The 26068-nt window shown below is 52.9% G+C and overlaps 1 protein-coding gene across 32 annotated transcripts in view, besides 9 other annotated features; it reads left to right on the forward strand.

Moving 5' to 3' along the window:
- The window catches only part of BANP (BTG3 associated nuclear protein), a 128081-nt gene that overhangs the window by 49768 nt on the left and 52245 nt on the right, over positions 1-26068 (forward strand). For 19 of the 32 annotated variants that reach the window (NM_001384941.1, NM_001384931.1, NM_001384925.1 and 16 more), the window contains 3 exons: positions 5290-5406; positions 7085-7260; positions 19423-19662. In NM_001384941.1, the coding sequence (NP_001371870.1) occupies positions 5290-5406; positions 7085-7260; positions 19423-19662 (533 nt within the window). The remainder of the gene's footprint in view (positions 1-5289; positions 5407-7084; positions 7261-19422; positions 19663-26068) is intronic. The other 13 variants (NM_001384936.1, NM_001384916.1, NM_001384921.1 and 10 more) reach the window with 1 other exon arrangement.
- Positions 912-1766: an enhancer, noted in NCBI's record as "H3K27ac-H3K4me1 hESC enhancer chr16:88033523-88034377 (GRCh37/hg19 assembly coordinates)". NCBI's record gives its function as "activates a minimal SCP1, AML or CMV promoter by ChIP-STARR-seq in naive H9 embryonic stem cells {active_cell/tissue: H9 hESC(naive)}" and the evidence as "EXISTENCE:reporter gene assay evidence [ECO:0000049][PMID:30033119]".
- Positions 1767-2620: an enhancer, noted in NCBI's record as "H3K27ac-H3K4me1 hESC enhancer chr16:88034378-88035231 (GRCh37/hg19 assembly coordinates)". NCBI's record gives its function as "activates a minimal SCP1, AML or CMV promoter by ChIP-STARR-seq in naive H9 embryonic stem cells {active_cell/tissue: H9 hESC(naive)}" and the evidence as "EXISTENCE:reporter gene assay evidence [ECO:0000049][PMID:30033119]".
- Positions 6546-7091: an enhancer, noted in NCBI's record as "H3K4me1 hESC enhancer chr16:88039157-88039702 (GRCh37/hg19 assembly coordinates)". NCBI's record gives its function as "activates a minimal SCP1, AML or CMV promoter by ChIP-STARR-seq in primed H9 embryonic stem cells {active_cell/tissue: H9 hESC(primed)}" and the evidence as "EXISTENCE:reporter gene assay evidence [ECO:0000049][PMID:30033119]".
- Positions 7092-7635: an enhancer, noted in NCBI's record as "H3K4me1 hESC enhancer chr16:88039703-88040246 (GRCh37/hg19 assembly coordinates)". NCBI's record gives its function as "activates a minimal SCP1, AML or CMV promoter by ChIP-STARR-seq in primed H9 embryonic stem cells {active_cell/tissue: H9 hESC(primed)}" and the evidence as "EXISTENCE:reporter gene assay evidence [ECO:0000049][PMID:30033119]".
- Positions 9568-10281: an enhancer, noted in NCBI's record as "NANOG-H3K27ac hESC enhancer chr16:88042179-88042892 (GRCh37/hg19 assembly coordinates)". NCBI's record gives its function as "activates a minimal SCP1, AML or CMV promoter by ChIP-STARR-seq in primed H9 embryonic stem cells {active_cell/tissue: H9 hESC(primed)}" and the evidence as "EXISTENCE:reporter gene assay evidence [ECO:0000049][PMID:30033119]".
- Positions 10282-10995: an enhancer, noted in NCBI's record as "OCT4-NANOG-H3K27ac hESC enhancer chr16:88042893-88043606 (GRCh37/hg19 assembly coordinates)". NCBI's record gives its function as "activates a minimal SCP1, AML or CMV promoter by ChIP-STARR-seq in naive H9 embryonic stem cells {active_cell/tissue: H9 hESC(naive)}" and the evidence as "EXISTENCE:reporter gene assay evidence [ECO:0000049][PMID:30033119]".
- Positions 13880-14793: an enhancer, noted in NCBI's record as "H3K4me1 hESC enhancer chr16:88046491-88047404 (GRCh37/hg19 assembly coordinates)". NCBI's record gives its function as "activates a minimal SCP1, AML or CMV promoter by ChIP-STARR-seq in naive H9 embryonic stem cells {active_cell/tissue: H9 hESC(naive)}" and the evidence as "EXISTENCE:reporter gene assay evidence [ECO:0000049][PMID:30033119]".
- Positions 14794-15706: an enhancer, noted in NCBI's record as "H3K4me1 hESC enhancer chr16:88047405-88048317 (GRCh37/hg19 assembly coordinates)". NCBI's record gives its function as "activates a minimal SCP1, AML or CMV promoter by ChIP-STARR-seq in primed H9 embryonic stem cells {active_cell/tissue: H9 hESC(primed)}" and the evidence as "EXISTENCE:reporter gene assay evidence [ECO:0000049][PMID:30033119]".
- Positions 25612-25858: a silencer, noted in NCBI's record as "fragment chr16:88058223-88058469 (GRCh37/hg19 assembly coordinates)". NCBI's record gives its function as "represses an EF-1alpha promoter that drives an FKBP-Casp9 reporter gene in an ReSE screen in HepG2 liver carcinoma cells {active_cell/tissue: HepG2}" and the evidence as "EXISTENCE:reporter gene assay evidence [ECO:0000049][PMID:32094911]".

Genomic DNA, 26068 nt, shown 5'->3' on the forward strand with positions numbered 1-26068 from the left:
CCAGACACGTCTCCATGCACGCACGTGTGCGGCTGTACTTACCTGTCCTTCCAGACACGTCTCCATGCACGCACGTGCGCGGCTGTACTTGCCTGTCCTTCCAGACACCCAGACACGTCTCCATGCATGCACGTGCATGGCTGTACTTACCTGTCCTTCCAGACACATCTCCATGCCCGCACGTGCGCGGCTGTACTTACCAGGCCTTCCAGACACGTCTCCATGCACGCACGTGCGCGGCTGTACTTACCTGTCCTTCCAGACACGTCTCCATGCATGCACTTGCACGGCTGTACTTACCAGGCCTTCCAGACACGTCTCCATGCACGCACATGCGCGGCTGTACTTACCTGTCCTTCCAGACACGTCTCCATGCACGCACGTGCGCGGCTGGACTTACCTGTCCTTCCAGACACCCAGACACGTCTCCATGCACGCACGTGCGCGGCTGGACTTACCTGTCCTTCCAGACACCCAGACACGTCTCCATGCACGCACGTGCGCGGCTGGACTTACCTGTCCTTCCAGACACCCAGACACGTCTCCATGCACGCACGTGCGCGGCTGGACTTACCTGTCCTTCCAGACGCGTCTCCATACACGCACGTGCGCGGCTGTACTTACCTGTCCTTCCAGACGTGTCTCCATGCACGCACGTGCGCGGCTGTACTTACCTGTCCTTCCAGACACCCAGACACGTCTCCATGCACGCACGTGCGCGGCTGGACTCACCTGTCCTTCCAGACACGTCTCCATGCCCGCACGTGCGCGGCTGGACTCACCTGTCCTTCCAGACACGTCTCCATGCACGCACGTGCGCGGCTGTACTTACCTGTCCTTCCAGACACGTCTCCATGCACGCACGTGCACGGCTGTACTTACCTGTCCTTCCAGACACCCAGACACGTCTCCATGCACGCACGTGCGCGGCTGGACTTACCTGTCCTTCCAGACGTGTCTCCATGCACGCACGTGCGCGGCTGTACTTGCCTGTCCTTCCAGACACCCAGACACGTCTCCATGCACGCATGTGCGCGGCTGTACTTACCTGTCCTTCCAGACACGTCTCCATGCCCGCACGTGCGCGGCTGTACTTACCAGGCCTTCCAGACACGTCTCCATGCACGCACGTGCGCGGCTGTACTTACCTGTCCTTCCAGACACGTCTCCATGCACGCACTTGCACGGCTGTACTTACCAGGCCTTCCAGACACGTCTCCATGCACGCACGTGCGCGGCTGTACTCACCTGTCCTTCCAGACACGTCTCCATGCACGCACGTGCGCGGCTGTACTTACCTGTCCTTCCAGACACCCAGACACGTCTCCATGCACGCACGTGCGCGGCTGTACTTACCTGTCCTTCCAGACACCCAGACACGTCTCCATGCACGCACGTGCGCGGCTGTACTTACCTGTCCTTCCAGACACCCAGACACGTCTCCATGCACGCACGTGCGCGGCTGTACTTACCTGTCCTTCCAGACGCGTCTCCATACACGCACGTGCGCGGCTGTACTTACCTGTCCTTCCAGACGTGTCTCCATGCACGCACGTGCGCGGCTGTACTTACCTGTCCTTCCAGACACCCAGACACGTCTCCATGCACGCACGTGCGCGGCTGGACTCACCTGTCCTTCCAGACACGTCTCCATGCCCGCACGTGCGCGGCTGGACTCACCTGTCCTTCCAGACACGTCTCCATGCACGCACGTGCGCGGCTGTACTTACCTGTCCTTCCAGACACGTCTCCATGCACGCACGTGCACGGCTGTACTTACCTGTCCTTCCAGACACCCAGACACGTCTCCATGCACGCACATGCGCGGCTGGACTTACCTGTCCTTCCAGACGTGTCTCCATGCACGCACGTGCGCGGCTGTACTTGCCTGTCCTTCCAGACACCCAGACACGTCTCCATGCACGCATGTGCGCGGCTGTACTTACCTGTCCTTCCAGACACGTCTCCATGCCCGCACGTGCGCGGCTGTACTTACCAGGCCTTCCAGACACGTCTCCATGCACGCACGTGCGCGGCTGTACTTACCTGTCCTTCCAGACACGTCTCCATGCACGCACTTGCACGGCTGTACTTACCAGGCCTTCCAGACACGTCTCCATGCACGCACGTGCGCGGCTGTACTTACCTGTCCTTCCAGACACATCTCCATGCACGCACGTGTGCGGCTGTACTTACCTGTCCTTCCAGACACCCAGACACGTCTCCATGCACGCACGTGCGCGGCTGGACTTACCTGTCCTTCCAGACACCCAGACACGTCAACATGCACGCACGTGCGCGGCTAGACTTACCTGTCCTTCCAGATACCCAGACACGTCTCCATGCACGCACGTGCGTGGCTGGACTTACCTGTCCTTCCAGACACATCTCCATGCACATACATGCGCAGCTGGACTTAGCTGTGTTTTTTGTCACTTAGTATTGTTGTGGCACTTTTTCCACATCGGTCCTTAGATAGGGACTGCATCCTCCTTAATGTGATAAAGATGTTCCATAATTTAAAAAAAGTATTCTTTTGTGCAATTTGAGGTTGATTTAAATCGCGTTAGTTGAAAGCGTGTAGTTTCTGGCATTTTTTAAACATTAAAATAATTTACTTTTACAGCATATTATAATATTGATCTTTAAAAACAAAACTGGTTTATTTATTTTTTTAATTTTTCCATTATAATCTAAATATCATGATGGATTTTGAACGTCTCACCAATGAGCTTTTGGCAGTCGAATGTTATGTCACTTTTCTTTTCTTTGAATTTTCGTTTCCATTTCATTTCCCTCACAAAATTTTATCCTGTTAGCCTGGCTGTCGTATGCATTTGCAACAGAAATAGGGATGTAGATCGAAGCTGAAAAAATTTATGTTCCTAACCATAAGGCCCTAAGTGCTAAAAAAAAACAAAAAAACAAAAAAAAAAAAACCTTCTGGATTGAAGGTTCAATCCAGATTTGTTCAACTACAATGGTTGAACAGAAGAACGTGAATATGTCACCCACTTAGAACTAATTCTTGATAATAAAATACTAGGAATGTATTTTTGAAGAGCTGGATAGGGCTTTTTGGTTAATTATTGAATCAATGGATGATTATGTTTGACTGCTTAGATGAGACAGGATTCCATGTTGGTCCTGCTGTTTTTGGTTTTTATAACTCTGGGTGCTGGGAAACTTGGGTCCCATCGGTAATATGTGGGAGAGGAAGGAGTCCTTGGCTTCTTTGAGTTGTGTGCCAGGGGTCTCAGTGGTCTGTCCTCAGAAACTGTTTTTGATGATCTCTGTCTATTTTGTTGAAAGCAAAGATTGCAACCCAGCTGACTTACCAAGGGCTTTCTAGTCAGCCGGTGAGGTGCTGGTTTTGTCACGCCCGTGCTGGTGTTCAGGTGGCCCTGCGCTGGCTCCTGGGGTCTGTGCCCTAGGTGGATGGTGCATCCAGTGTGTTCAGAGCAGAGGTTGTTTTTTAGGTGGGAAAAGGGCTTTGTGGAAGGGAACACACACATTGAGATACTCGCTCAAGGAGAGTCATCTTTAGGCAACAGGACATTCTGGAAGGTGGGGATCTGGAGACTGCGTTGCTGAGAGCTGTTTGCATCCATGAGCCCCCCAGAAGCTGTGGGGCACCCGAGGGGCACATTATTCCAGTTGGGAGCTGGTTGTCTTAGAATATGATTTCCTTCACCTTAATAAGGATCTTCAAGGAAAAAAAAGGTATATTTGGTCAAATGACCTTGCCAAATGGTGGCCTGAATACATTTTACTCTATTAAAATTTCTTCTCAGACTGTCAGTGTGCCAGTGGCCACTGTGAATAGTCATTAGGGGACTGTTGGCTTCTCAGCAGCACCGTCCTTCTTCAGTTGCTCATGGGGGGAGAGAATAAATGCATGTGTGGACATGCTGTGAGCCTAGGATCCCGGGGACACCAGCCTTCCCACATGCTGTGAGCCTAGGATCCCGGGGCCACCAGTGTTCCATAGCCTCCACTTGGGGAACATACCAAGCTCGTGCAAGTCAGGTAGCCTCTCCAGTTCTACATCTCTGAGGAGCATAGGACTGTCACAGCCTGTAGGTGACTGTGGTGACCAAGCCAAAAGCCACCTGGGTTACTTTCCATACCTGACCTATAGGTCATTTGTCAGGTTTTGCTGTGTTAACGTTAGGTGTCACCAATAACAAGTAGAGGAATTTAAAAAATAATATTTTTGAATGAAATGGAGTTGATTATGCCTTTATTTTAGGAGAAAACCTGGTGGTCCTGTGATTTACTTGAGCATGGCGTGGTGCTGTGCTGGCACTCAATGTGGGGACAGTTACAGTGATACTAGGCTAGAATTTCCTATGTGCAGATCACAGAAAGGCAGGCTTCCCAGGTTGGTTTTTGGAGAGTGAAATCCAAGAATGGAGTTTTATTGTCAGGTGATAATCACGTTGTGTTTCTAGTGCTAGTTCTTTCTCTCCCCAGCCTTCCACAACAAAGCGGACCTTAGATATCCCTTGTGACCAGAAAGTGCTAAGGCTTAAAAACGCATGATTGAAAACTGTGGGTGAGTCTGTACTTTGAGATGAAGCTGTGTTAGCTGCCGCCTGTCTGAACACACTCGTGCTTCCTCCAGGGTGGCGCCAGGCTTGCTGGTTTCTGGGCCATGGTCTGTTCTTTTGTAGAATCTTTTCCTTCAAAGCAGAACCCTGAGCCCTTTGGTTGTAGCTCACACATGTTCCTGCAGGACCTGGAGGCAGCATGTGTGTCCTTCCATCCCAAGTCCAACGTGATGTTTGCCCCTTTCTTTCCAGGGCGCTACCGTTTTGGAATGATACCAACACTTACGTGGTTACGAACGTTAGATCTGTCCCATAGGAATGAGTTGGGATGGAGTGACTGAAAATGTCAAGCCAGTTCTCATGCAAGTGTGCCACCCTAGAAGCTTTATTAACTGGGTGCGATAACAGCTGGTGCGGTTGCAGTCTATTCTGTCACAAGTTCAGCATCCTCAGCCCAGCTGTCCTGTGCTATCCAGTTGTGCAGACAGATCACCAACAATTAGGAAAAGTTACGTTCTGCTAAAAACCCCATCTCCAGTTTATTCTTCCTTAGCATTTGGGGCTCCTTCCCCCTCAGGACGGGTCCCTGGGAGTGGACTATGTTGAATGACTCTTAGGCCTCCCCCTCAGTGCGGGTCCCTGGGAGTGGACTGTGTTGAATGACTCTTATGTGCTCTTACCATGAATGTTGTTGTTTTAAGGCCTTCTTTTTCTTTGTGATTCTTTTGTTCCCTAGCGTCGTCCCCCAGACTACAGTAATACTCAACAATGATCGGCAGAACGCCATTGTAGCCAAGATGGAAGACCCCTTGAGCAACAGGGCACCGGATTCCCTGGAAAATGTCATTAGCAAGTCAGTAGCACGGCACCAACCCCACCTTTCCCTGCCACTGTGCGGAGTCCCATGAGAATAAGTCAACGTCCCTAAGCCAGGGCACAGTCCAGCACACGCTTCATCTCTGTGGTCACAGGGTTGAGCCTGGCAGGCACCGCCCCAGCTCTCTGAGGTCGGGGAGGGCAGGCTGGGCGATGCTGAATGCTGAGTCCAGCCACACCAGGGGCAGCTGCCGCCGGGGACTTCTGTGTCTCGTGCTGGCCGGGGTTGTGGAGGGGGCTGGCTCTGTCTCCTCACAGCAGTCTGTGAAAGCGTTCATCCTCCCACCTAGCTCAGTGGTCCTCACGTCTGTCTGTGCAGAGCGTGTCAGGCAAACAGACGCCCTCTCCCACGGTTGCTAAGTGGTGCAGGCATGTTGAGTTTATGACTTTTTTCTTATACCTTTTTCTCTTGAGACATTTTGAATGGAACTTTGGTCAGAGGTGGGAGTGGACAGAAGACACCGTCCCCGCTCTGTGTGAGGGGAAGGCTGTGCAGTGGCCTCTGGCTGGCATCCAAGCCCTGCTGTCCCCAGGAGTGCCCCTGGGGCTGCGTGAACCCCTGAGGATGCTGTTGCTTTTTCTTTCCCATCTGTGTCTTCACAAAGTTCTATTTGCTTTTTCTCTCAGTCTCCTTTGTGGATTCCTCCTCCTCCAGCTTCGTCCCCTTTCTGTATTGTCTTAGCTCAGTTCTCCAGGGCCGCAGCTGTGGTCGCAAGGGTCTGATACGTGGGGTGAAGGGAGAGGAGTTGGTGATGGGCGGTGAGGAGGTGCCAGGGTCAGCTGTGCCTCAGGGGCTTTGCACTGAGGTCAGCCAGGCAGATGGCCAGTGTTGAGATCAGGTTCAGCGTGGACAGCGCTCTAGAGAATCCAGGCCAGAAAGTGCAGAGTGCAGCGCCCTCCTCTGGGTGCGGCCAGTGTTTTCAACACCCTTTTTTTTGACTTTGCATATAGAGAAATTGTGCTCCTTTCTCCTGCTGGTGCGTAGCAGTCCACGGTAGAGGATGTTGAAAGGGTCACTAAAAAAGGGAAGTAGTAAGTCTCTAAATCATCCTTTTTTTTGAGCACTTGTGGAGGTGGCCTCGCCCTGCTTTGCTAGCAGTGTTCTGTCCTTCCACATCAGCAGCCCTTGGGATGATGGCAGCTCCGATGGGATCTCAGTGGGTTTTTTAAGCCCCGTCAGGGTTTTTTGCCCGTGGGCGTACGTGGGAGTGCTGCTCGCATTGCGAGGGGGAGCCATCTCCAGCGAGCCCAGCAGCGTGGATCGAATTGACCCAGGCCTCTGGGCACAGTTTTCCTCATTTAGTCTTCCCTTTAACCTCGCCGGAAAAAAGACTCTTACCAGCATTTTATGGGATGACTACTGAACTCAGAAGGCAGCATGCTAGGCCTGAGTCCCAGTGAGTATGATTTTACTCCTTTTGTGATACAAACATTTTCTTTAAATGGTTAAGTTTTATTTTATACAGTTTCTTTCAGCCCCAGGCCATTTTCTCCCATGGAGTTTCTATTAATCTTGGTAGAGAGAGCAGTATGGGAAGGCTGTGTGATCCACTGGTCCACACAGAGTTAGATTTTGCGATAAGGAAAGCGCTGACCTTCGCGTGCTGCTTGCGGCTCTTACCACATCGGGCTGGTGTGTTTTTTTTCCCGTTTAGCGCTGTGCCTGGGCGTCGGCAGAACACCATTGTGGTGAAGGTGCCGGGCCAAGAAGACAGCCACCACGAGGACGGGGAGAGCGGCTCGGAGGCCAGCGACTCTGTGTCCAGCTGTGGGCAGGCGGGCAGTCAGAGCATCGGGAGCAACGTCACGCTCATCACCCTGAACTCGGAAGGTGCGTCCAGGGCGGCTTTCCTCGGCCAGAGCGCCAGTACAATTGTTTGTTTGTTTTGCCTTTTAGAAATTTTGTTGTTTTTTAAAGAAGTGATACAGTGGCCAGGCGCGGTGGCTCACGCCTGTAATCCCAGCACTTTGGGAGGCTGAGGCGGGCGGATCACCTGAAGTCGGGAGTTCGAGACCAGCCTGGCCAACATGGAGAAACCCTGTCTCTACTGAAAATACAAAATTAGCCGGGTGTGGTGGCAGGTGCCTGTAATCCCAGCTACTCGGGAGGCTGAGGCAGGAGAATCGCTTGAGCCTGGGAGGTGGAGGTTGCGGTGAACCGAGATCATGCCATTGCATCCAGCCTGGGCAATAGAGGAAACTCCATCTCAAAAAAAAAAAAAAAGTGATACAGTATAGGACAGGCTCAGTGGCTCACACCTGTAATTCCAGCACTTTGGGAGGCTGAGGCGGGTGGATCATGAGGTCAGGAGTTCAAGACCAGCCTGGCCAAAATGGTGAAACCCCATCTCTACTAAAACTACAAAAATTAGTTGGGCACGGTGACAGGTGCCTGTAATCCCAGCTACTTGGGAGGCTGAGGCGGGAGAATTGCTTGAACCTGGGTGGCAGAGGTTGCAGTGAGCTGAGATCGCACCACTGTACTCTAGCCTGGGCGTCAGAGACTCTGTCTCAAAAAAAAAAAAAAAAAAAAAAAGATAGTGATACAGTATAAACATGAAGATTAAAGGGAAAATAACTGTGATCCCACCATTCTGAGATCTCTAAACCTTTTGGGGTTTTTTGGTGCACATTTTATGATTTTATAACTCACTTCTTTCCCCTACACAGTAGAAATCTTTCCACGTTAGTGCAGATGGACAGAGTCATTTTTAGCCAGTTTTGCTTATTTCATCAGGTCTGGATGCTTTCCAGGGATGGCCCCCTCTAACCTTTCGTTATTGAAACTAGCATTGGCCTGCTGTGTTTTCATGTCTCTTGGATCAGTGTCTGGACGTGGGCTCTCAGAGGCAGGTTGCTGGGCTAGAGGACGCAGCTTCCACGGGTTCCATGGCACAGGATGCATTGCCCATTTCCCCCGAGATCTGGAAGGATGTGAAGCTGTTTGTCCTACTTGGACTCCTAGCGGGGGCCTCTCTCCTGCAGGGCTCTGAGGTGCCCTCCCGCCTGGCCCTCGGCCTGCCCAGTGTGCCTTTCAGAGCCGTCTTCCCCTGAGAGCCTCTGTGTGCCCTTCATCCTGTCACCGTAAGTGACCAGATGACTGTCAGTGACTACAGCGTGGAGAAAAGAAAGAACCAAACAGACTTAGCTTTGTGCGTGGAGTTGTAAAGCATGTGTTTTCCTTGCTTACTAGGAAGAACTCAGTTTTTCTGCATCTGCGTCTGAGTTGTTGATTTTTCCTAGCAACTCGATGTTGCTTTGTCTAGTGAACAAAGGCTTTCCTGTTAGGAAGACTCATTACCGTATCTGAAACATTGAAAACAATGTCTTCCACAAAAATTGCTTTTACCTCTAATACAAATTGCTAGGATTCAGATGGCAGAATGGAGGGAAGAGAGAAAGAGACGTTGAGTTGATCTTTTTTTTTTTTCCAAGTTGAGATCTAATTTATATACCATAAAATTGACTGTTTTAAAGCATACGTCTCAGTTGTTTTTAGTATATTCTCAAGGTTGTACAGTCATCACTTCGGACTAATTCTAGAATATTTTTTATTACCCCCAGAAGAAGCCCTGTGCCCATCAACAGTCACTTTCCATTCTCCCAGCCTCCAGCCCCGGCACCCAGCTCATCTCCGTCCTCGTGGATGTGCCTGTTGTGGACCTTGACTCTAAATGGAATCCTGTGGCATCACCCACATTGTAGCTTTTGCCCAGTGCTTTGTTCCTTTTCATGGCTGCGTGATGTGCCGAGGTATGGATGGCCCTCATTCTGTTGATCCATCATCAGTTGATGGGCATCTGGGTGGTTTGCACTTTTTGGCTGTTGTCAGGAATGCTGCTGTGAACGTTGAGGTGCAGGTTTTTGTGTATGTATTAATTGCAGGATCAGGGCAATGGAGTTTTTCACACATGAAATTTGAGGAAAGGAGGGATGCTCCTGATTTCATTTTCATAGAAATTGAAAATCACATTGCAGTAACGACAGACTAATTGTTGTAATTATTTTTGGATGTGGATTTTGTATAAATCCCCACATAGATCTGGCCACCCCCTTCAGGCCTGATGTTTGTTTGATTGAAACTGTGTTAGCTAAGGCAAAAAAACTTGGTAATTCTGGGGAGTCCAGGGTCATAAAAACAAAAAAATCTAAATGAACTTATGAGACGATATCAAATTTGGAGCTTACTTAGTATTGATCTGTATCTATAAGGAAAAATACAAATTTTCTTTGTGTCTGAGTTTAAGTTTTTTTGATGTTTTGTGTAAGACATTTTTCTTTAGCTAGGCTTTGAGCAGAGTTTTATAGCCATCTTTACCACTGATTGTTCTCATCAAACATAATTTTGCTGTACAACACAGGTTGTTAGGATTGGGGTGAACTGCAGAACTTTTTCTCATCTTAAATTTGACTTTATTTTGAAGGAGAGGTCATCATCCAGAGCCATTCTGTTTTCTCATCCCATTAGGAGGAAACATTTTTTGTAATAAATCTGTTTCACTGACTGTCCTTGGGAATGTATATCCCAGTGGGGTCGGTGTTATGAAAATATCTGCTTGAGCTGCCTTATTTGGCATAGTGGCTTGGTGAAAATGAGGAAGTCACCTTTAAATGATTGCTGTGTATGTAAATGTTGGGAAAATAGCCAATCCATTAATGTCTCTTATGTCAGATTTAATCTCAGCCCGTAGTGGCGTCCTCTCTTCAGCACTTCCATGGGGGGTGCGAATGTGCCGAGAATGGGGCCAGCATCTTCCTGCCTGTGGCCCTCTGTCCCAGAGCACCTGGGCAGGTGGTGAATCAGCGAGTTTCTACGAGGGAAAGCATTAGGAATATGGGAAGTGCTAAAGGGGGTGTGCTTGTCTTTCTATTTAGTTGTTTTAGGCCCTGATAAGAAATAGGAGCCGCAGGAGACAGATTGTTCTTAGCTTCTTATTTAAGTATTTAAGTGCCTTAAGTCTTAGAGAACCACAGATTTCAAAACGGTTATTTCTTAAGAATTCCAAATGGCTTGTGTGAATTGACATGCTGTTTTGTATCAAATTTGGAGTCAGTTTATTGTACTGCAAAGATACCATATCATTTTATTCTAGTTTTTTTCACTTAGGTAATTCCGTTTGTCATTACACACGCTCCACTGGAATAAGAAGGATGGTAACTCTCAGCTATTGAAAGCAGGGAACAGTAGACTGTGTCTCATTGGAATAAGAAGGACGGTAGCTCCTGACTGTTGAAAGCATGGAACAGTAGACTGTGTCTCATTAGAATAAGAAGGACGGTAACGCTCAGCTATTGAAAGCAGGGAACAGTAGATTATGTCTCATTAGAATAAGAAGGACGCTAACTCTCAGCTATTGAAAGCAGGGAACAGTAGACTATGTCTCATTAGAATAAGAAGGACAGTAGCTCCTGACTGTTGAAAGCAGTGAACAGTAGACTGTGTCTCATTAGAATAAGAGGGACTGTAGCTCCTGACTGTTGAAAGCATGGAACAGTAGACTGTGTCTCATTGGAATAAGAAGGACTGTAGCTCCTGACTGTTGAAAGCAGGGAACAGTAGACTATGTCTCATTGGAATAAGGACGGTAGTTCCTGACTGTTGAAAGCAGGGAACAGTAGACTGTGTCTTCATTCTTGTGCTTGCCTTTTGTCAGTAGTTTTGGTCTTGGTGTGCTCATAGCTTTGTTTTGTACTTGAAAGTGTGTGGGGCCTCATCATTCAATGACTAAGCTGCCAGCTGAGTTAGAGAAACAAGTTGAGCTAAAATGGACCTAGCATGGGATCTGTTTGTCCATTAAGGGATTTAGTTAGGTTCTTAATCAAGAGTTTAAATTTCTGCTGTGTATGCATTTGATAATTCTTACAAAACGTGACTGATCCTATACATAAAATGTTAGGTACTTCATTTCAGTGGGGGAAGGATTGTGGTTGAATTCTAATTGAATTATTGCCAGGAATTGGTCCCATGGACTTCCCAGGCAGTAGAATGACTTACGTGGTAGCTCTTGGTGATGCCAGTGAAGGCTGGTGAGGCACAGCTGGGAGAGTTGGGCAGCTGTGAGAGCTGTCAGCTGTGGCCATCCTGCAGCTGCTACTGGCACGCCGTGCTGACCTCGTTGTCCCAGACCTCGTTGTCCACAGAATGTCGGCCATGCACATGGAAATAAGAACATGTAGCCACACTGCTGTGCGGATTTACAGACCTCACAGTCCACACAATGTTAGCCGTGCACATGGAAATAAAAACATGTAGCCACGCTGTGCTGTGCCGAGTCACACACATCGCAGTCCACGGAACACCAGCTATGCACGTGGAAAGGAGAACGTGTAGCCACGCTATGCTGTGCCGATTCACACACCTCGCAGTCCATGGAATGCCATTCGTGCACGTGGAAAGGAGAACGTGTAGCCACGCTATGCTGTGCCGATTCACACACCTCGCAGTGCACGGAATGCCATTCGTGCACATGGAAAGGAGAGCATTTATTTACAGAATTCATCTTATGTAAGTGTTTTTAACATAAGTGCTGTATGTGTGAGGTAACAGGAAACATTTTTTCATGGCAGTCCTGAGTTGATCGCTAATAAGAGTAGGATTGCAGAGAGATGAGTGACCACAATAAAACCAAGGGAAGCGGGAGACAGCAGCGTGAGAACAGTCATGGCTCTGAGTGCCACAGAGCGGCCGGAAGGGCTGTCTGGGGAAGTGAGTGGGAGTGATGGCGTCTCAGCGGCTTGCGTTGAGTTTCCGGATACACAGCCTGTGCCCCGGGATGGAGGTGTCGGGAGCAGTCTTGATCCATGGCAGTGTTGGTGCTGAGCAGTCAGGAGTTCACCCAGGCTCCTCCCCACCACCTCCCCCACCCTGAAAGACGCCCTTTCCATCCCTGCCCTGTGAGACCAGACGCCTGGAGAGCAAACTTCTCAGGTGCTAGAGGCGCTCAGCTCTCCAGAGCTCAGCCGCCGACTGGTGTTGGACTCAGGTTCTCTGCGTGACCCGGAGGCGCAGGATCCTTTTTAACTCAGGGTTAAATTATTTTTCACTTTAAGAAATGCTTAAGCATTACAGGCAAAACCTTTACAATAGAATCGTTGATGGAAAACAGCCCACTCAAAAAGACAAACAAAATAAAAGCAGCCCACACCAAAAAAGCATTCTGAAAGAAAATGGTAGTGTTTAGTTTGTAAACTGAGGTCTCTGTAATGTGTAGCTTGCAGAATGTCAGTGTTACAGGTGTCTAAAATTCTCAAATACGATGTCACATAATCATAAAGTCCCTGATTTTAGAGCGAGGTCACCCTATCAGGAGCCCACCGGGTTTTCAAAGTTGTCCTCCAGGAGTGTGCACTTTTTGCTGTTCAGGGTACCCCCCCTCTTCCTCTCCCCTCCCCTTTTAATCTTTCTGCTCCCCTTTTCCCATCCCAAATATTCATTAAGCATCCACTAGTACCTGATGGGAATGGAGGTTCTTTTGAAGCATCCGTTATGTGATATCGTAGACATCTAGCCAGTAGATGGCCAGAGTTGGCGTGTTTGGGACAAATGTAGCCTTACCTTTATGGGGTGTCCCTAGTCCCCAGGATCCTGGCATACCCCAACACATTATATTTTCTTGTGGGGCACATAATTATGAGGAGCCCAACAGATAAAATGTCTCATGCGTTCCACATAGAATTCTTATTCTCTACCTTGAATAGGAGAGATGAGTTATTGACAGTTATGGTTCATCACGTCCTGGCGCTGGAAGCATTTTGAGCCGTGATGTGTGTAACGACACAGCCCGGTGCTGCCTTTAGGTTTGAATTCTGTGTGGGTTTGCTCTGTGTTATCCATTGTTGGAACCATGTATTTCATTTTATGCAGAGTTGCTTTTGAAATTCATAAACAGCTTGAGTAAGCCTTTGCAAAAGCCAGATGAAAATTAATTTTTGGCGTGGATGGCATATCTAATGTGAATCTGTTCTCTGAAGACTTACCTGGAGATGGTGAGGCTGACCTTGAACTGAATTGACATGGAGTTGGTTGTGTTGTGGAACGTAACACCATGCTCTAAGGCTCTGAACAACCGTGCAGCCCAGTGACTCGCAAAGGATGGCCTTCTGATTTGTTCACTATCCTGCTGGAGATGGAAATCTGGCATTCGTCACCTCTGTGACTGCAGGGGACTAACGTGTGGAATCCCAGGGACAGGAACACTCTGAGCCATCGCCTGAAAAGTGACCGTGGAGCTACATTTCCCAGGACATTCATGGAAGTTAGGGCTTCGGTCTTGGACAACACACAGATAACATTTGTCGGAATTATTCTTTCATCTGTTCTTGGAAAGTCAGCATTCAAATGAAAGTAGGAGAGAGAGGGATCTTAAAAAGATTGTGTTTCAATTATTGGTTAATTCCTTTCTATAGACGGCCTAAGAAAAAAGGATAAATTAATAACTATTCACTGTGGTCTGACAGTACAAATTCCAGGCTGGGATTTTTAAATCATCGTTTTGTTTCCCTTTTTCCCGACAGTAGGGAATTCTGAATATATAAAAAGTTGAGTAATACAGCAAATTATATCAGGAAGCAGATATGAGACAGTGCCTTCCATTTCAGTGTAGAAAAGGCATCATTTAAACTCAGAGTCTTTGAGGATCGGCAGCTTTCTAGGAAGAGACACTAGAAATGTGTGAATCACTGGTTGTTAATAGGCAGGGACTCTCATGGCCTAGAGCGTTTGCCTCCATTCCCAGTCTGCCTCTCACTTGGCCTGCGACCTCGATCAGGGTCATTCACTTCTGGAGACGTCTGAGCGCCTCTCCCGTGAGATGGATCATGGGCTGGCTTAGCTGCTGGGGTTACTGTGAGGACTGAGGAAATGAGGCCTCTGAAGTGGTGGAGGTGTGGATTCAGGAGCCTGCCTGACAGGACGGGCCCTCCCTCAGTGCAGTGTGACGTGGGCCTGCCCCATGCCTAGTTCCTAGACCGCTGCCCGCACCCATCAGAGCTCAGCCTGCCTGACAGGACGGGCCCTCCCTCAGTGCAGTGTGAGGTGGGCCCGCCCCATGCCTAGTTCCTAGACCGCTGCCCGCACCCACTAGAGCTCAGCCTGCCTGATGGGACGGGCTCTCTCTCAGTGTGGTGTGACGTGGGCGTGCCCCATGCCTAGTCCTTAGACTGCTGCCTGCACCCGTCAGAGCTCAGCAGGACTTTGTGCTTTCCTGGTGCAGGAGGCTCCAGGAGTGGTATCCTTTATGGTCTCTACACATGGGGCCCTCCTTGCACAGGTCAGAACCCCCTTGCCTCAGAACCTCCTTGCTAAGCAGGGCCTACCCCACAGCCTCTGATTGGTTGGGCCCAAGAAAGAGCATTTTCAGCAAGTTCCCTGCCACTGCTAATGCTGCTGGTCTGAGAACATGCCTGAAAATCTCTAGTACTTAGAGGAGTGAGGTGGGAGTGGTATTGTCAACAGGAAATCCATGGACACAAGTGTGGATGGGAACCGGTAGACTGGGGTGGGTCAGCACTCATAATGTGGCTGTGCTGAGCAGGAAGCGCAGGGCGTGGAGCTGTGAGCCGCAAACACAGGCCAGCACAAACTGGGTCCTGCTGGACACTCCAGGCGGGAGATTCCTGGGAGGACAGGCCAGGTGGCCTTGGGGTAACTCTGGTGGGGCAGAGTTTAGAGTCAGAGTCTCCTGCGGTGCTGAAAAAGGCCAGGAAGAAGTGTTGAGGCCTGGACGAGGCCACTGGTTGTGGAGGGAGGGCTCATTGTGACCTGCAGTGCAGGAGGAGTCACCCAGAGCTGGGGCAGCTCCGTGTGGGGTGGAGGGCACGGCCAGCCTTGGGTGCACTGGGTCTGGACATTTGCACACTGGCCCTCAGTGAGTCCTGAGCCTGCCAGAGGATGAGCTTAGCGGCTGCCCCGACACTGCCTTGAGGTGGAGCCTGGGGAGGACGGAGGTGGTGGGTGGCAGCACCCCCCAGGAGCTGGCTGTCATCCTAAGTCAGGGAGGTTCTCGGTGTGGGCATGGAGAGCCCACGTCATCCCTCCTGGAGGGTCTCAGTGACACTTTGACATGATTTTGACTCACTGTTTGAAAAACAACTCTGAATTCTTGTCCAGTGTTTACTTTAAAAATATTATCTCACCACAGAGAGCTCAGCTAAGTGTGTTTGAGCACTGTTAATTCCTGAGAGAGGCTGCAGGGATCTTTAGCAGCTTGGTGGCTACAGCTGAGAGCCCCTGCCCACCGTCCCCACACCATCCTCGCACTGGTCCTGCATCACCCACATCCCGGTGTGGGTGGGTGATGGTCGGGGAGGCTGGTGGCTCAGGATGCTGCTGCCCTTCCTGCTGCCTGCCTCGGGTCCTCTGTTTGTGATCTCCAGGTCCTAAGTCCAGAGATGCTTGGTGTCGCTGGAGACCACCCTCATGTACCCAGAGTTCCCATTAAATGAGCCTCAGTGCTGGGAACCCTGGGAAGTTTAAAGACAGTGGGTCTCACTGTGAGCCCTACTGACACCAGGCCCTCAGCTATTCCTGGATTACTGAGCAGCTCTGTAATCAGCTGCTTGCCCTCTCTGCCCGTCCCTCTGCCTGTGCCCCCTCAGCTTGTGCCCTCTGGCCGTGCCCCCTCAGCTCATGCCCTCTGCTCGTCTCCTCTGCCTGTCCCCTCTGCCCGTCCCTCTGCCTGTCCCTCTGCCTGTCCCTCTGCCTGTGCTCCCTTAGCTCGTGCCCTCTGCCCGTCCCCTCTGCCTGTGCCCTCTGCCCGTGCTCCTTCTGCCCATCCCTCTGCTTGTGCCCTCTGCCTGTGCCCCTTCAGCTCGTCTCCTCTGTCCCTCTGTCCATGCCCTCTGCCTGTACCTCCCTGCCTGTGCCCTCTGCCCGTGCCCCCTCAGCTCGTGCCCTCTGCCCGTCCCTCTGCCAGTCCCCTCTGCCTGTGCCAGTTCAGCTCGGACCACGCTGGGCGTGGGCGCCTGCTTTCTGCCCAGGTGACTGGGCCCTGCTTGGTTCTCCACCCTCTCCTGTCCCTCGTCTGCCCTATGTTCCCTGCTCTGGCCACGCTGGTTCCCTTACCTTCCTGGAGCACGTGGCCCCTCCTGGCCCAGGCCGATGCTGCTCCCCGCTCTGGAATGTTCTCTGGAGTTCTTCCCCTGGGTGGCTGCTTCCCGCTTCCCTGCTTGGGGTCACCCGTTCTCGTCTGAGGTCAGCTCTACCCCTGCCTGTCTCCCTGTTCGCTTGCAGGCCACTGTCCCTGGCACTTGGGAGTCAGGAGGAGCGGGGCCGAGGTCTCGCGCTCCAGGAGCTACCAGGCAGCTGCCGCAGGGACTCAGGTACTCAGGTGCTCTTCTAGCGCCTCAGCGGCTTTCACTCCATTCGTGCTCCTTTACCCGGGGCTCTGTACCGGTGCTGCCAGGAGGCCTGGCTGGCCTGGGCTGGGAGCCCACATTGAGCAGCATCTGTGTGGGATCGAGGCTGTTTCCCGCGGCCCCGGTTCACATTGGATGGCATCTGATGGTGTCACCCTGGCCTGCGCCCAGTCTGGGTTTGGGAGTCCGGGGACCTTGCAGTGGGACAGTTCCCATTTGCCAGCATGGGCCTCCGCAGCCTCTGCTTGCCAGCCACCAGGGGCCACAAGCAAATCTCTGCCCCTTGCCCAGGCCCCAAGGCAGAACATTTTTAAAAATCCTCCCTTCAGAAGGACAGACACAGGGAAGGATTCAGCCCCTTAGGTTTAATCTGACCAGGAAATCTGTGGCATGGTTTAAGGTCAGCACAAGCGGGGACTATGTCTGGGGCCTCCCGTCCATGCAGGAGAAGCATGTGGCGCTGGGAAATGCGTGGTGCAGGTGCCAATGCTCCAGAGCCGCCTCGGCCACTGTCCTCCCACATCTTGGGTTTCCCCTGCAGATTCCCATTTAGATCTTTGGTCCCATGGAGTCCATGACCATCTCTAGCCATGGTGTGACCAGCATGTGGCTTCAGATCTTGGAGACTGGACCACTCCTGCCTTGGCTCACACGTCCCCTCTGTTTCCCCTTCCCCTCCCCATGGCTTCCTTACTGGACTGCTGCTGACCAGGGCCTGCGCCGCTGTGTTCGATGACATTGACCCGTGACTCTGAGCAAGAGCTTAGATGCGGAGCTTTAGACCCAGCGCCAGGCCCTTGGGTGTCCCGTAAGGATTCGTAGATACATTCGTAGAATCCCCGGAAGCTGGAGTCTCGAAGCTTTGCAGCTGCGGCCTTTAGAGAGCCCTTGCCATGAGACTCCACCCATTAGCCTTGAGGTCACGTGTTTCCGTTTTGCTCCTCATATACAGGTGGAATGTAATAGTGGCCGACCGACGGATGTTCTGAAAAAATGCACGTCTGAGCGTACGTTCCTGGCAGCATCCCTGTACTTCTAAACCACCTCTGAGCATCGATGCTCCTTACTCATCTGTGTCCTGAATTTCAAAAATTAGAGCTGTCTTCTATCCTTAGCTACAGCCAAGAGCCCAGCCACACTGGCCTGCCCCTGTGACAATGTGTGTTTGAAGACAGGGTGACCAGCCCTGCCCTGATATTTCATGGAAATCTTATATTTCAGGGAATGGGAGAGGCTGCTTGTGGAGGGAGCTGTGTATGCTAGGAGCACACGGCAGCCACAGGCTTCTCGGCTGTGCTCCAGGCTTCCTGGCCCGGCAGGCAGGGCTGGCTGCCCTTGTAGGAGCCGGAAAGTCAATATTGGGACATTTCAGAATAAAGCTCACAGACGTTCTGAGGCAGCGATGCCCAGGGTGGCATGACTGTAGCCAGCCCTGGGCCTCAGAGACTCTGGCAGAGCGTGGCGTCCCTCATAGGTCCCGGCCCCTCGTGGGAGGTATTCAGGTTTCTACCCTTCCACAGGGGAGGACGTGCTGGGGGAGGGGAGACTCTTGCAGCCTCACTTTGGTTCAACTTCAGGGTCAGAAGAGATTGGGCAGCTGCTGAGCTTCCAAGCAGGAATGTGAGTTTTCCCGTTTATGATCATCTGTGGAGCTTTCTTCCATCACACGGGGAGGCTTTGAAAAGGCAGCCTTTCACATACCGTACTTGGTCAACCTGAGGACAACCCGGAGATGCCGTTACACAGAGAAGGAATCCGTGGTTCAGAGAAGACTAGTGACTTGTGAAGGGTCAGCTAGGAAGCTGAGAGCCCACGCTTGGGAGGGAGGGAGGCGGAGAGGTGTGGAGGGGCTGGCGGGCGTCACTGCCTGGGCAGGCAGGTGGGAAGTCCCACTCCATCGTCACAGGAGTGTGCTTTGCAGGCAACCTCAGGCCACTCCAGGTGTCTGGGCACCGTGTCTCCTCCATGTGGAGTGTGGGCCTGTCCACGGGTCCTTGCTGTGGCCTCACTGACAGTGCAGAACGTGGCGCATTCCCACACCTGAATGCGCTGCTCTGGGCGGCTGCATTGTAACTGCCCTGAGAATGCTGGCGTCAAGGGCATGCTGTGACTTACACTGTGCAGAGGCAAGGACTGGCATTGTGTGCACGGGGGCGACGCCAGGCCGGCTGCTGATGCTAGAGCCCCTCACCTCTGCGTCTTTCTTGGTGGGAGTGGCTGGCCAGTGGGAGAGCATGGCTGGCAGTGAGGTGTGAGGGACCCCGGGGAGGGTTCCGCTCTGCAGGTGGCTGGGGCAGGTACCAACTGTGTGCAAGGATATCGGTATTGCTGGGGTCCCGGGTCCAGGGTGAGCAGAGTGTGTGACCGTGTTGGCGCTCAGGTCCCGAGGCCCTGCAGCCCCACAGGCACGTGGCCGCTTCTCGGGGGTGGTGGGATCGTGTCTGTTCCGCGTCAGTTCTTTCTTGGGCAGCAGTCGGAGGCTCCAGCGCTCTTGGTGACTGCCTCACAAGTTACGAGGGATTTGCCCAGCCCTGCGTGGAGCATCTTTCCCGACTGTGCCTGAGCAGAGCGCTCTGCTGTCCTGAATGTGAGCTTATTTGAGCCTTGGCCATCTGAGGACCTGTCTTCTGTTTTTCAGAGGACTACCCCAATGGCACCTGGCTGGGCGACGAGAACAACCCCGAGATGCGGGTACGCTGCGCCATCATCCCCTCCGACATGCTGCACATCAGCACCAACTGCCGCACGGCCGAGAAGATGGCGCTCACGCTGCTGGACTACCTCTTCCACCGCGAGGTGCAGGCTGTGTCCAACCTCTCGGGGCAGGGCAAGCACGGGAAGAAGCAGCTGGACCCGCTCACCATCTACGGCATCCGGTGTAAGTCGGGCCCCGCCTTGGGGGACTGGGGTGTGCGGGGAGCTGGGTCAGGACCCACATTTCAATGCTGAGGACGCTGGCATCAGTAGCACCGGCACGGGGCTGCGTTTCTCCAGGCGGTTTGAAATCTCAGCCCGAGGATCAGTGCTCGAGGGGATGGATGAGCTGTTGACCCTGATGTGCTTATTACGCACGGCATGCCCGCACCAAAATACCTCATATACCCCATCATATATATACCTACTGTGTACCCTTAGAAGGTGAAAAACTCCTCGCCTCCTGTCTGTAGGCCACTCTTGAGGAAGAGAGAGGAGGAGGAGAGCCGGGGCCTTCCCTGCTGTCCTGGCCACGCTGACCCAGGCCCCCCTGAGCCTCTCCTAAGCGGGTGGAGTGCCACCTGCCTCCTTCCTTCTGAGAGGGCTGGGCCTCAGCAGCCGTGCCAGGGCCTCAGCGCTGACCTGGCTGTGATGGGAGCCAGGAGAGCTCCAAAGCCTGATTTTCGTGCCCAGCCCGGCCTGTGACGTCTCCGTCCCCTCTGAAGAGCGGGATTTGCTCCAGGTGGCGATTGCGGTACTGCCCTTCAATGGCGTTTGATGGGCGCTCAGGTCCTCCTTGCCAGCGTCCATGGTCCATTTGCTCCACAGAGCCCGTCTGCTTCAGAAGCCGTCCTCCTGGCTTCTAACGAAGATGTAAAGTGAAGCAGCAGCAAACGCAAGAGACACGAGGCCCCTGGCGGGAGGGTGTGGGAGGGTGCAGTGGCCTCCGGCAATCTGGGCTCTGGAGAGTCACCTCAGGGGAGCGTGAAATGTAAATCTGATCTCGAAACAGGGCGAGCGAGGCAGAGCATTCAGCGTCCAGGATCTCAGCATGCCGGGGGCGTCCGGGATCTCAGCGTGCGGGGGGCGGGGCGTCCGGGATCTCGGCGTGCGGGATCTCAGCGTGCGGGGGGCGTCCGGGCGTGCGGGATCTCAGCGTGCGGGGGGCGGGGCGTCCGGGATCTCAGCGTGCGGGGGGCGGGGCGTCCGGGATCTCAGCGTGCGGGGGGCGGGGCGTGCGGGATCTCAGCGTGCAGGGCCAGCTGTTCCAGCAGGAAAGAGCCTTGCTCCTCTGGGAAGCACAGTGTGGCCCGTGAGCCTCTGTCAGGAGCAGTGGGGGAGTGGAAGGGCTCCGCTGTTCCGTAGCTGCTGTGAAAATGGGGTCTGAGTAAGACTGGGGTGTCGTGCTGACTGCAGGTTTTTCTGGAAGCTGCTGAGAGGTGGGTCCAGGTCCCACCCACATGCGTGTGAGCAGGTCATGGCATCTTCCCATGTGCCATGTCTTGTCCCAGGCGTGTGCCCCAGCTGTCAGACACCAGCGGGCGCCCATCCTGGACCCTGAGGGTAGTATCAGATAACTCCTGGGAGACCACACGTGGGGCCTCCTCACAGCTTCTCAGCGGTGGAGTAAAGCAGGTCAAGAGGATCAGAGGGTCATGGGGCAGGGGTCACCCTCAGCCTTCTTCTGAAGGGCCACACGGCAGATATTTCAGGCTTTGCAGGCCCTGGGGTCTCTGTTCAACTGCTTAGCTCTGAAAGCAGCCACAGACGAGGAGTCAGCGCATGGTCGTGGATGTGCTCCAACAGGACACTGCCTTCAGAGGCGGGCAGCAGGCCCACCACCCCCTCCACCCTCTGCTTTAGGGCATGGCGTGGCCAGGAGCACACATCTGCGCACCAGACCACGTGATGTGCTTCCAGCTTGAAACCCGGGGGTTGCTTCGTGCTGGTGCTTGCTGTGTGGATCACAGTGTGGAGTGCGTTGAGATATATAGACGAATGAGAAATGGCCCTGATGGCAGAGCGTGCGGTCAGGTAGATAGAAACGTCTGCAACCTGAGAGGTGGCATTGTGGGGTGTCGCAGGAGTGTCAGGCTGGGCTACAGGTTGGAGGCGCAGCCTGGACAGAGAGGAGTGGGTGCTCTTTGGAGAGGATGGTGGTGTGTGGGATGAGCGTGCTGTGCTGTGTGGGGCAGTGGCATTCGGGGCTGGGCCCTGTTCCCAGGTGAGGAGTCCCTGCTCCTCGGGGGAGAAGACAGGGGCCTTGGATGTGAAGCTGGAGGCCGGCTGGCTCTGCCTTGGAGACGGTGCCTTGGATTGTCAGGCTAAGGATTCGGGCTTTCAGGGCATTGGCTGCAATTCTTTTATTAATCGAGCACAGGGAATGTTCCAGTGAGGTGACAGGGGCATGGCAGGGCGATACTCAGAGCAGAGTCCATGGCGGTGGGGTGGCTGTGTCTGTATTCAGGGAGTCCATGTAGGGCGGTGGAAGGCACTGTATGGGGCAGAATGGGGCAGGCTGCGATTCCTTGCGTGTTGTGGCTATGAGTTGACCTTCTCTGCTGAGCTTCTCCTTGCTTGGGAAGTGCTGCCAACCTCGATGGGGGTCTGGAGGCCGGAGAGGGGAGTGGGAGCCTGGCATGGGCCACCACCCTCTCCCCTGGGCCCGCTGGCTTCGGGGCCATCCTCCAGACAGCTGAGGTCATTGGCTGTGTTCACCAGGCTGCTGAACCTCATGGCTTGGGGCCCACTGGCCCGGCCTCCCCAGGCTCTGAGCTGGGCTCTGGAGCACGGTCCCCTGGCAGGGGCGTCCGCTAGCACCGTCATTCTGCTGGAAGTCCCTCCGGGGTGGGGCTCCTGGGCTTGCTCACAGTGCCCGGCCCCTTGGAGATGCCCAGTGAATTCTGGTCTCTAGAGCCGAGCTTTGGGAAGGTCATGGTGTGGCTGACCTTCAGGGTGACTTTGCATGAGGAAGGCTGGCCTGTCCACAGGGCCGTGTGGAGGGGCCTGGAGCAACTGCTGCGTATGGACCAGGGCTGTGCCTTCTCCCCCGCCTCAGGCTAGGCGTGCCTGCGTGGCTCGTGCTTAGACGGAATTGCTGAAACGTAAAAAGCATGGCTTTACCTTTTCTTCCTGTGGCCCAGTTTCATTCTTATTGCTGATTGTTGCCCAAAAAACCAAAACAAATGAAATAAATGCATGGAGCAAACCTCCCAGGCCCCAGCTTGAACAGCGGCAGGAGTGGAATTGGCCGCATTGCCCCACCTTACTCTCTGCTGTTGCTTCAGAGCCCGCAGTGACGCCTGTAGCCTCAGCAGTCAGAGGCCTGCGGCTGTCCTCACTCAACCCAGGCAGCTCACGAGGGAGAAGATTTTGATTTAAGTTTCTCCTTATTTGTCAGCAGAAAGATTTTCTTTCTTTTTCTGGAGAAAAAAGTCTACATTTTGAAACACACAGTAGGTAAAGTCTCTAAGTACCACCTTCTCAAAATGAGGAAATGAGGTTATTGAAAGAGGGAGAGAGAGAAATTTGCTTTTTGGGGTGTTGGCTTTCTTAGGGTTCCCAAGGATTGGTGGACCCCCCGAATTTGGGCAGCTAACCAAATTTGTGTGTTTTATGCAAAAGTAGCATATTATTGCAACTTGGAAAACCTTGGAGCATTTTCCTAAGGAATGTGCTCTCAGGACAGCAGCATTCGCCTGTTTTCTCTATGAAGAGAAATTGGTTTAGTTCTTAGGATTTCTATCCACGGCTCGCTCACGCCTCTGCTTGGACTCTGCATCCAAGCCGGTGACCCCGGATCTGAGGGCTTTTCTAAAGAATGCTGTCTAAGGCCGTGCCACCCTGAACACACCCGATCTCGTCTGATCTAAAGAATGCTGCTGTGGATGGCCGATCCCCATGAGACCTCCTAGCAGTTACGGAAAGACTGGATTCATTTGCACAAGGTAAAAAGTTATGCTTTCAGGGTTGACCTGTCAGATGATTGTAGTTCTTTTCAAATCATTCACTCCAAGCCCCAGGTGGTGGTACCTAGTGGGAAGCAGCGGGGGCCACTTCACCCACACCTGTCCCTGTGAGTGCAGGTGTGCGACCTGGCCCCGTTGTGTCTTGCAGGGTGCCTCAGGTTCCTGTGGCCGCGGGGACAAAGCTCACAGCCTGGCTGGCTTAGAACACAGGCTTGTGTTCTCGTGCAGGTTTGGAGGCCAGATGCCTGGGATGAAGGTGTGGGCAGGGCCACGCTGCCTGAGAAGGCCCTTTCCCTCTCCCAGCTTCTGGTGGTGGCCGCATCCCTCCAGTCTCTGGCCGCATCCCCCTCGGCTGTCTTCCCCCCATGTCTCCCTCTGTGTCCCTCTCCTTATGAGGACAGTCACTGGATTTGGAGCTCCCTCTCCTGCAGGATGACCTCATTACAACCTAATGAATCACATCTGCAGAGACCCTAGTTCCCAGTCAGGTCACATTCTGGGGTCCTGGACCAGGACGTGAGTTTTGTGGGGACACTGTTCAGCCCAGGACACAGGACACGGGTGGTCAGGTGCTGTCTCTTCTCCAGGTTCTCTGTGAGGTGAAATGGTGAGGCTGCCCTATATGTGTCCTTAAGGCAGAATGTGGACTCCATGCAGGGGTGGGTGTTTGTCTGTGTATCTTGGGACATTGAGCGCCTCACGGTGACTGAGAGCTGGGAGGAAGGTGTGGTCAGTGTGGGCTTCAGGCAGAAAAGTGAGCAGAGCCTCCTTCTCAGCAGGTCACCCAGAAGCTGTGACCTGGAGGTGGTCCTGCAGGTGGCTGTGAGGGGCTCTCTGGCTAACAGACTGAGGACAGGTGTCTCTCCATCATTTTTTCTCATAAAGGAGTGAGTCAGCAGGCTTGAAGAAGGTGGCCGGCTTGGCCTGGAGGCTGGACGTTTGAGGTGCATGGGGCGTGAGCTGTGTATGCTTCCCCCGGGAGGGAGCATGTCAGCTGGCTTCCATCGGGCAGAGGCCTTTTGTTTTTCTAGGCAGCGCTGTCACGTCGAGTCTGTAATTTGAAGAAATCAGTTGTTGGCACTCGGTTTTGTGGTGCCTTCCCTTGCACATGAGAGTGTGTTAGCAGGTGGGGCTCTTCATTCCTTTGTGACTGATAAAGCCCCATGCCACCCACCAAGGCACAAGATGACAAGCCCTCCTGGCTCTCTCATCTCGCTTCCCACAGTGCCTCTCATGGCCCCACAGATGGAGAGCTGGGAATCGGCTTATGATTTGAACCACCAGAGTCAGTAACGGGGGTTCTGGAAAGTGGGAAGGCAGCTAACGGTGTAGTGGAGACTCTTTAGCTCTTTGGGGACTGCAGAACAGCTCGCCAGGAAAATAGAGGCGTGCACTGTGGCAGGGATGCTGCCTGGCTGAGCCTGGAAGGCAATCCCGTCCCGGCCTTGAGGGGCCTCGGTTGGTGTAGTGTGGGGATATGGCTGGGGAAAGCAGGGACTGAGGCCAGACAGGGTGTTCTGCTCCCAGGTGACGCCACGCTGTGGGGATCCCGTGAGCCTCAGCAGCCGGATGCCGAGCACTTCTGTTCTCCTTGTGTCCTGGGCGCTGCTGCAGGGGAGACTTCTGCCTCGATTGAAGTCCGACTAGGCCTCCCAGAGCAGGGGCTGCAGGTGCCTTGGGCTGAGGGAGCTCAGGACAGCAGAGTCACGTGTGCGGGGCTGTGCGTGTTCTTCCCGTCTCCCCGAGCACCTCTCATGGGTTCTCAGGATCCAGTGAGGGCCGCTGCTTCTTCACCTGGTGGGCCCAGGAAGCTTGCACTTTAAGGCCGGTGCTCACTCCTAACTAGTAATTGGACTTGGACACATCACTTCTCCTTTTTCTGGCTTTTGCCTCAAAACCAAAGTGATGAGAGTAGTGACATTCCTACTTCATGAGGCTTTTAAAAAAAAATGTCTGTCAAATAACATGAGATCAAATGCTTAAAGTGGAAAATGGCAGTTAAATTCAAGGTGATCTTTTGATCCCATCATGATAGGATTTTTCCCGCTCCCTGTTAAGTGCGGCTGCTCAGTGCTGTCAGAAAAGGTAAAGGAATCCGAGCCCTGAGGGCTGCCCAGACGTGGGCGCTTGCCCCAGCTGCTGTCCAGTAGCATCTGCGGGCGGCGCCTGCACCCGTAAGTGCATGTTCAGATCCTCGCCCTCCTCACCCACTGCACTCTGCGGGCAGCACTTGGGCGGCTGGTCCGTTCTCTGGATCTCCTTTGTGGCCGGCAGGGGGCATTCGCCCAGGCTGGGGCCTGGAGCGCAGACGGAAGGAATTAGATAATTTGATGTCTGAGGACAATGGAAACTCGGTGGCGGGTAACCAGATGAATATATATTTTTTATTTAATAAGTGTGAGTCAGGGTTTGAACTGGCAACTTGATTTTTACAAAGTTGAATTTAAATGTGAATGTTTTCACCCATTTCTCTTACCTATACACCTGGGTGTTTTAGATTTATCTTCTTTCCTGTTACTAACCCGTTTTTAAATTTTGTATGGACTCATTCATCCTTCAAAGTCTATGGAATTTTTCTCCTGGAGTGTGAAGGTGGGAGGGTCACAGGAGGGCGGTTCTGAG

The sequence above is a fragment of the Homo sapiens genome, chromosome 16 (assembly GCF_000001405.40).
Source record: "Homo sapiens chromosome 16, GRCh38.p14 Primary Assembly".
NCBI lineage: Eukaryota > Metazoa > Chordata > Mammalia > Primates > Hominidae > Homo > Homo sapiens.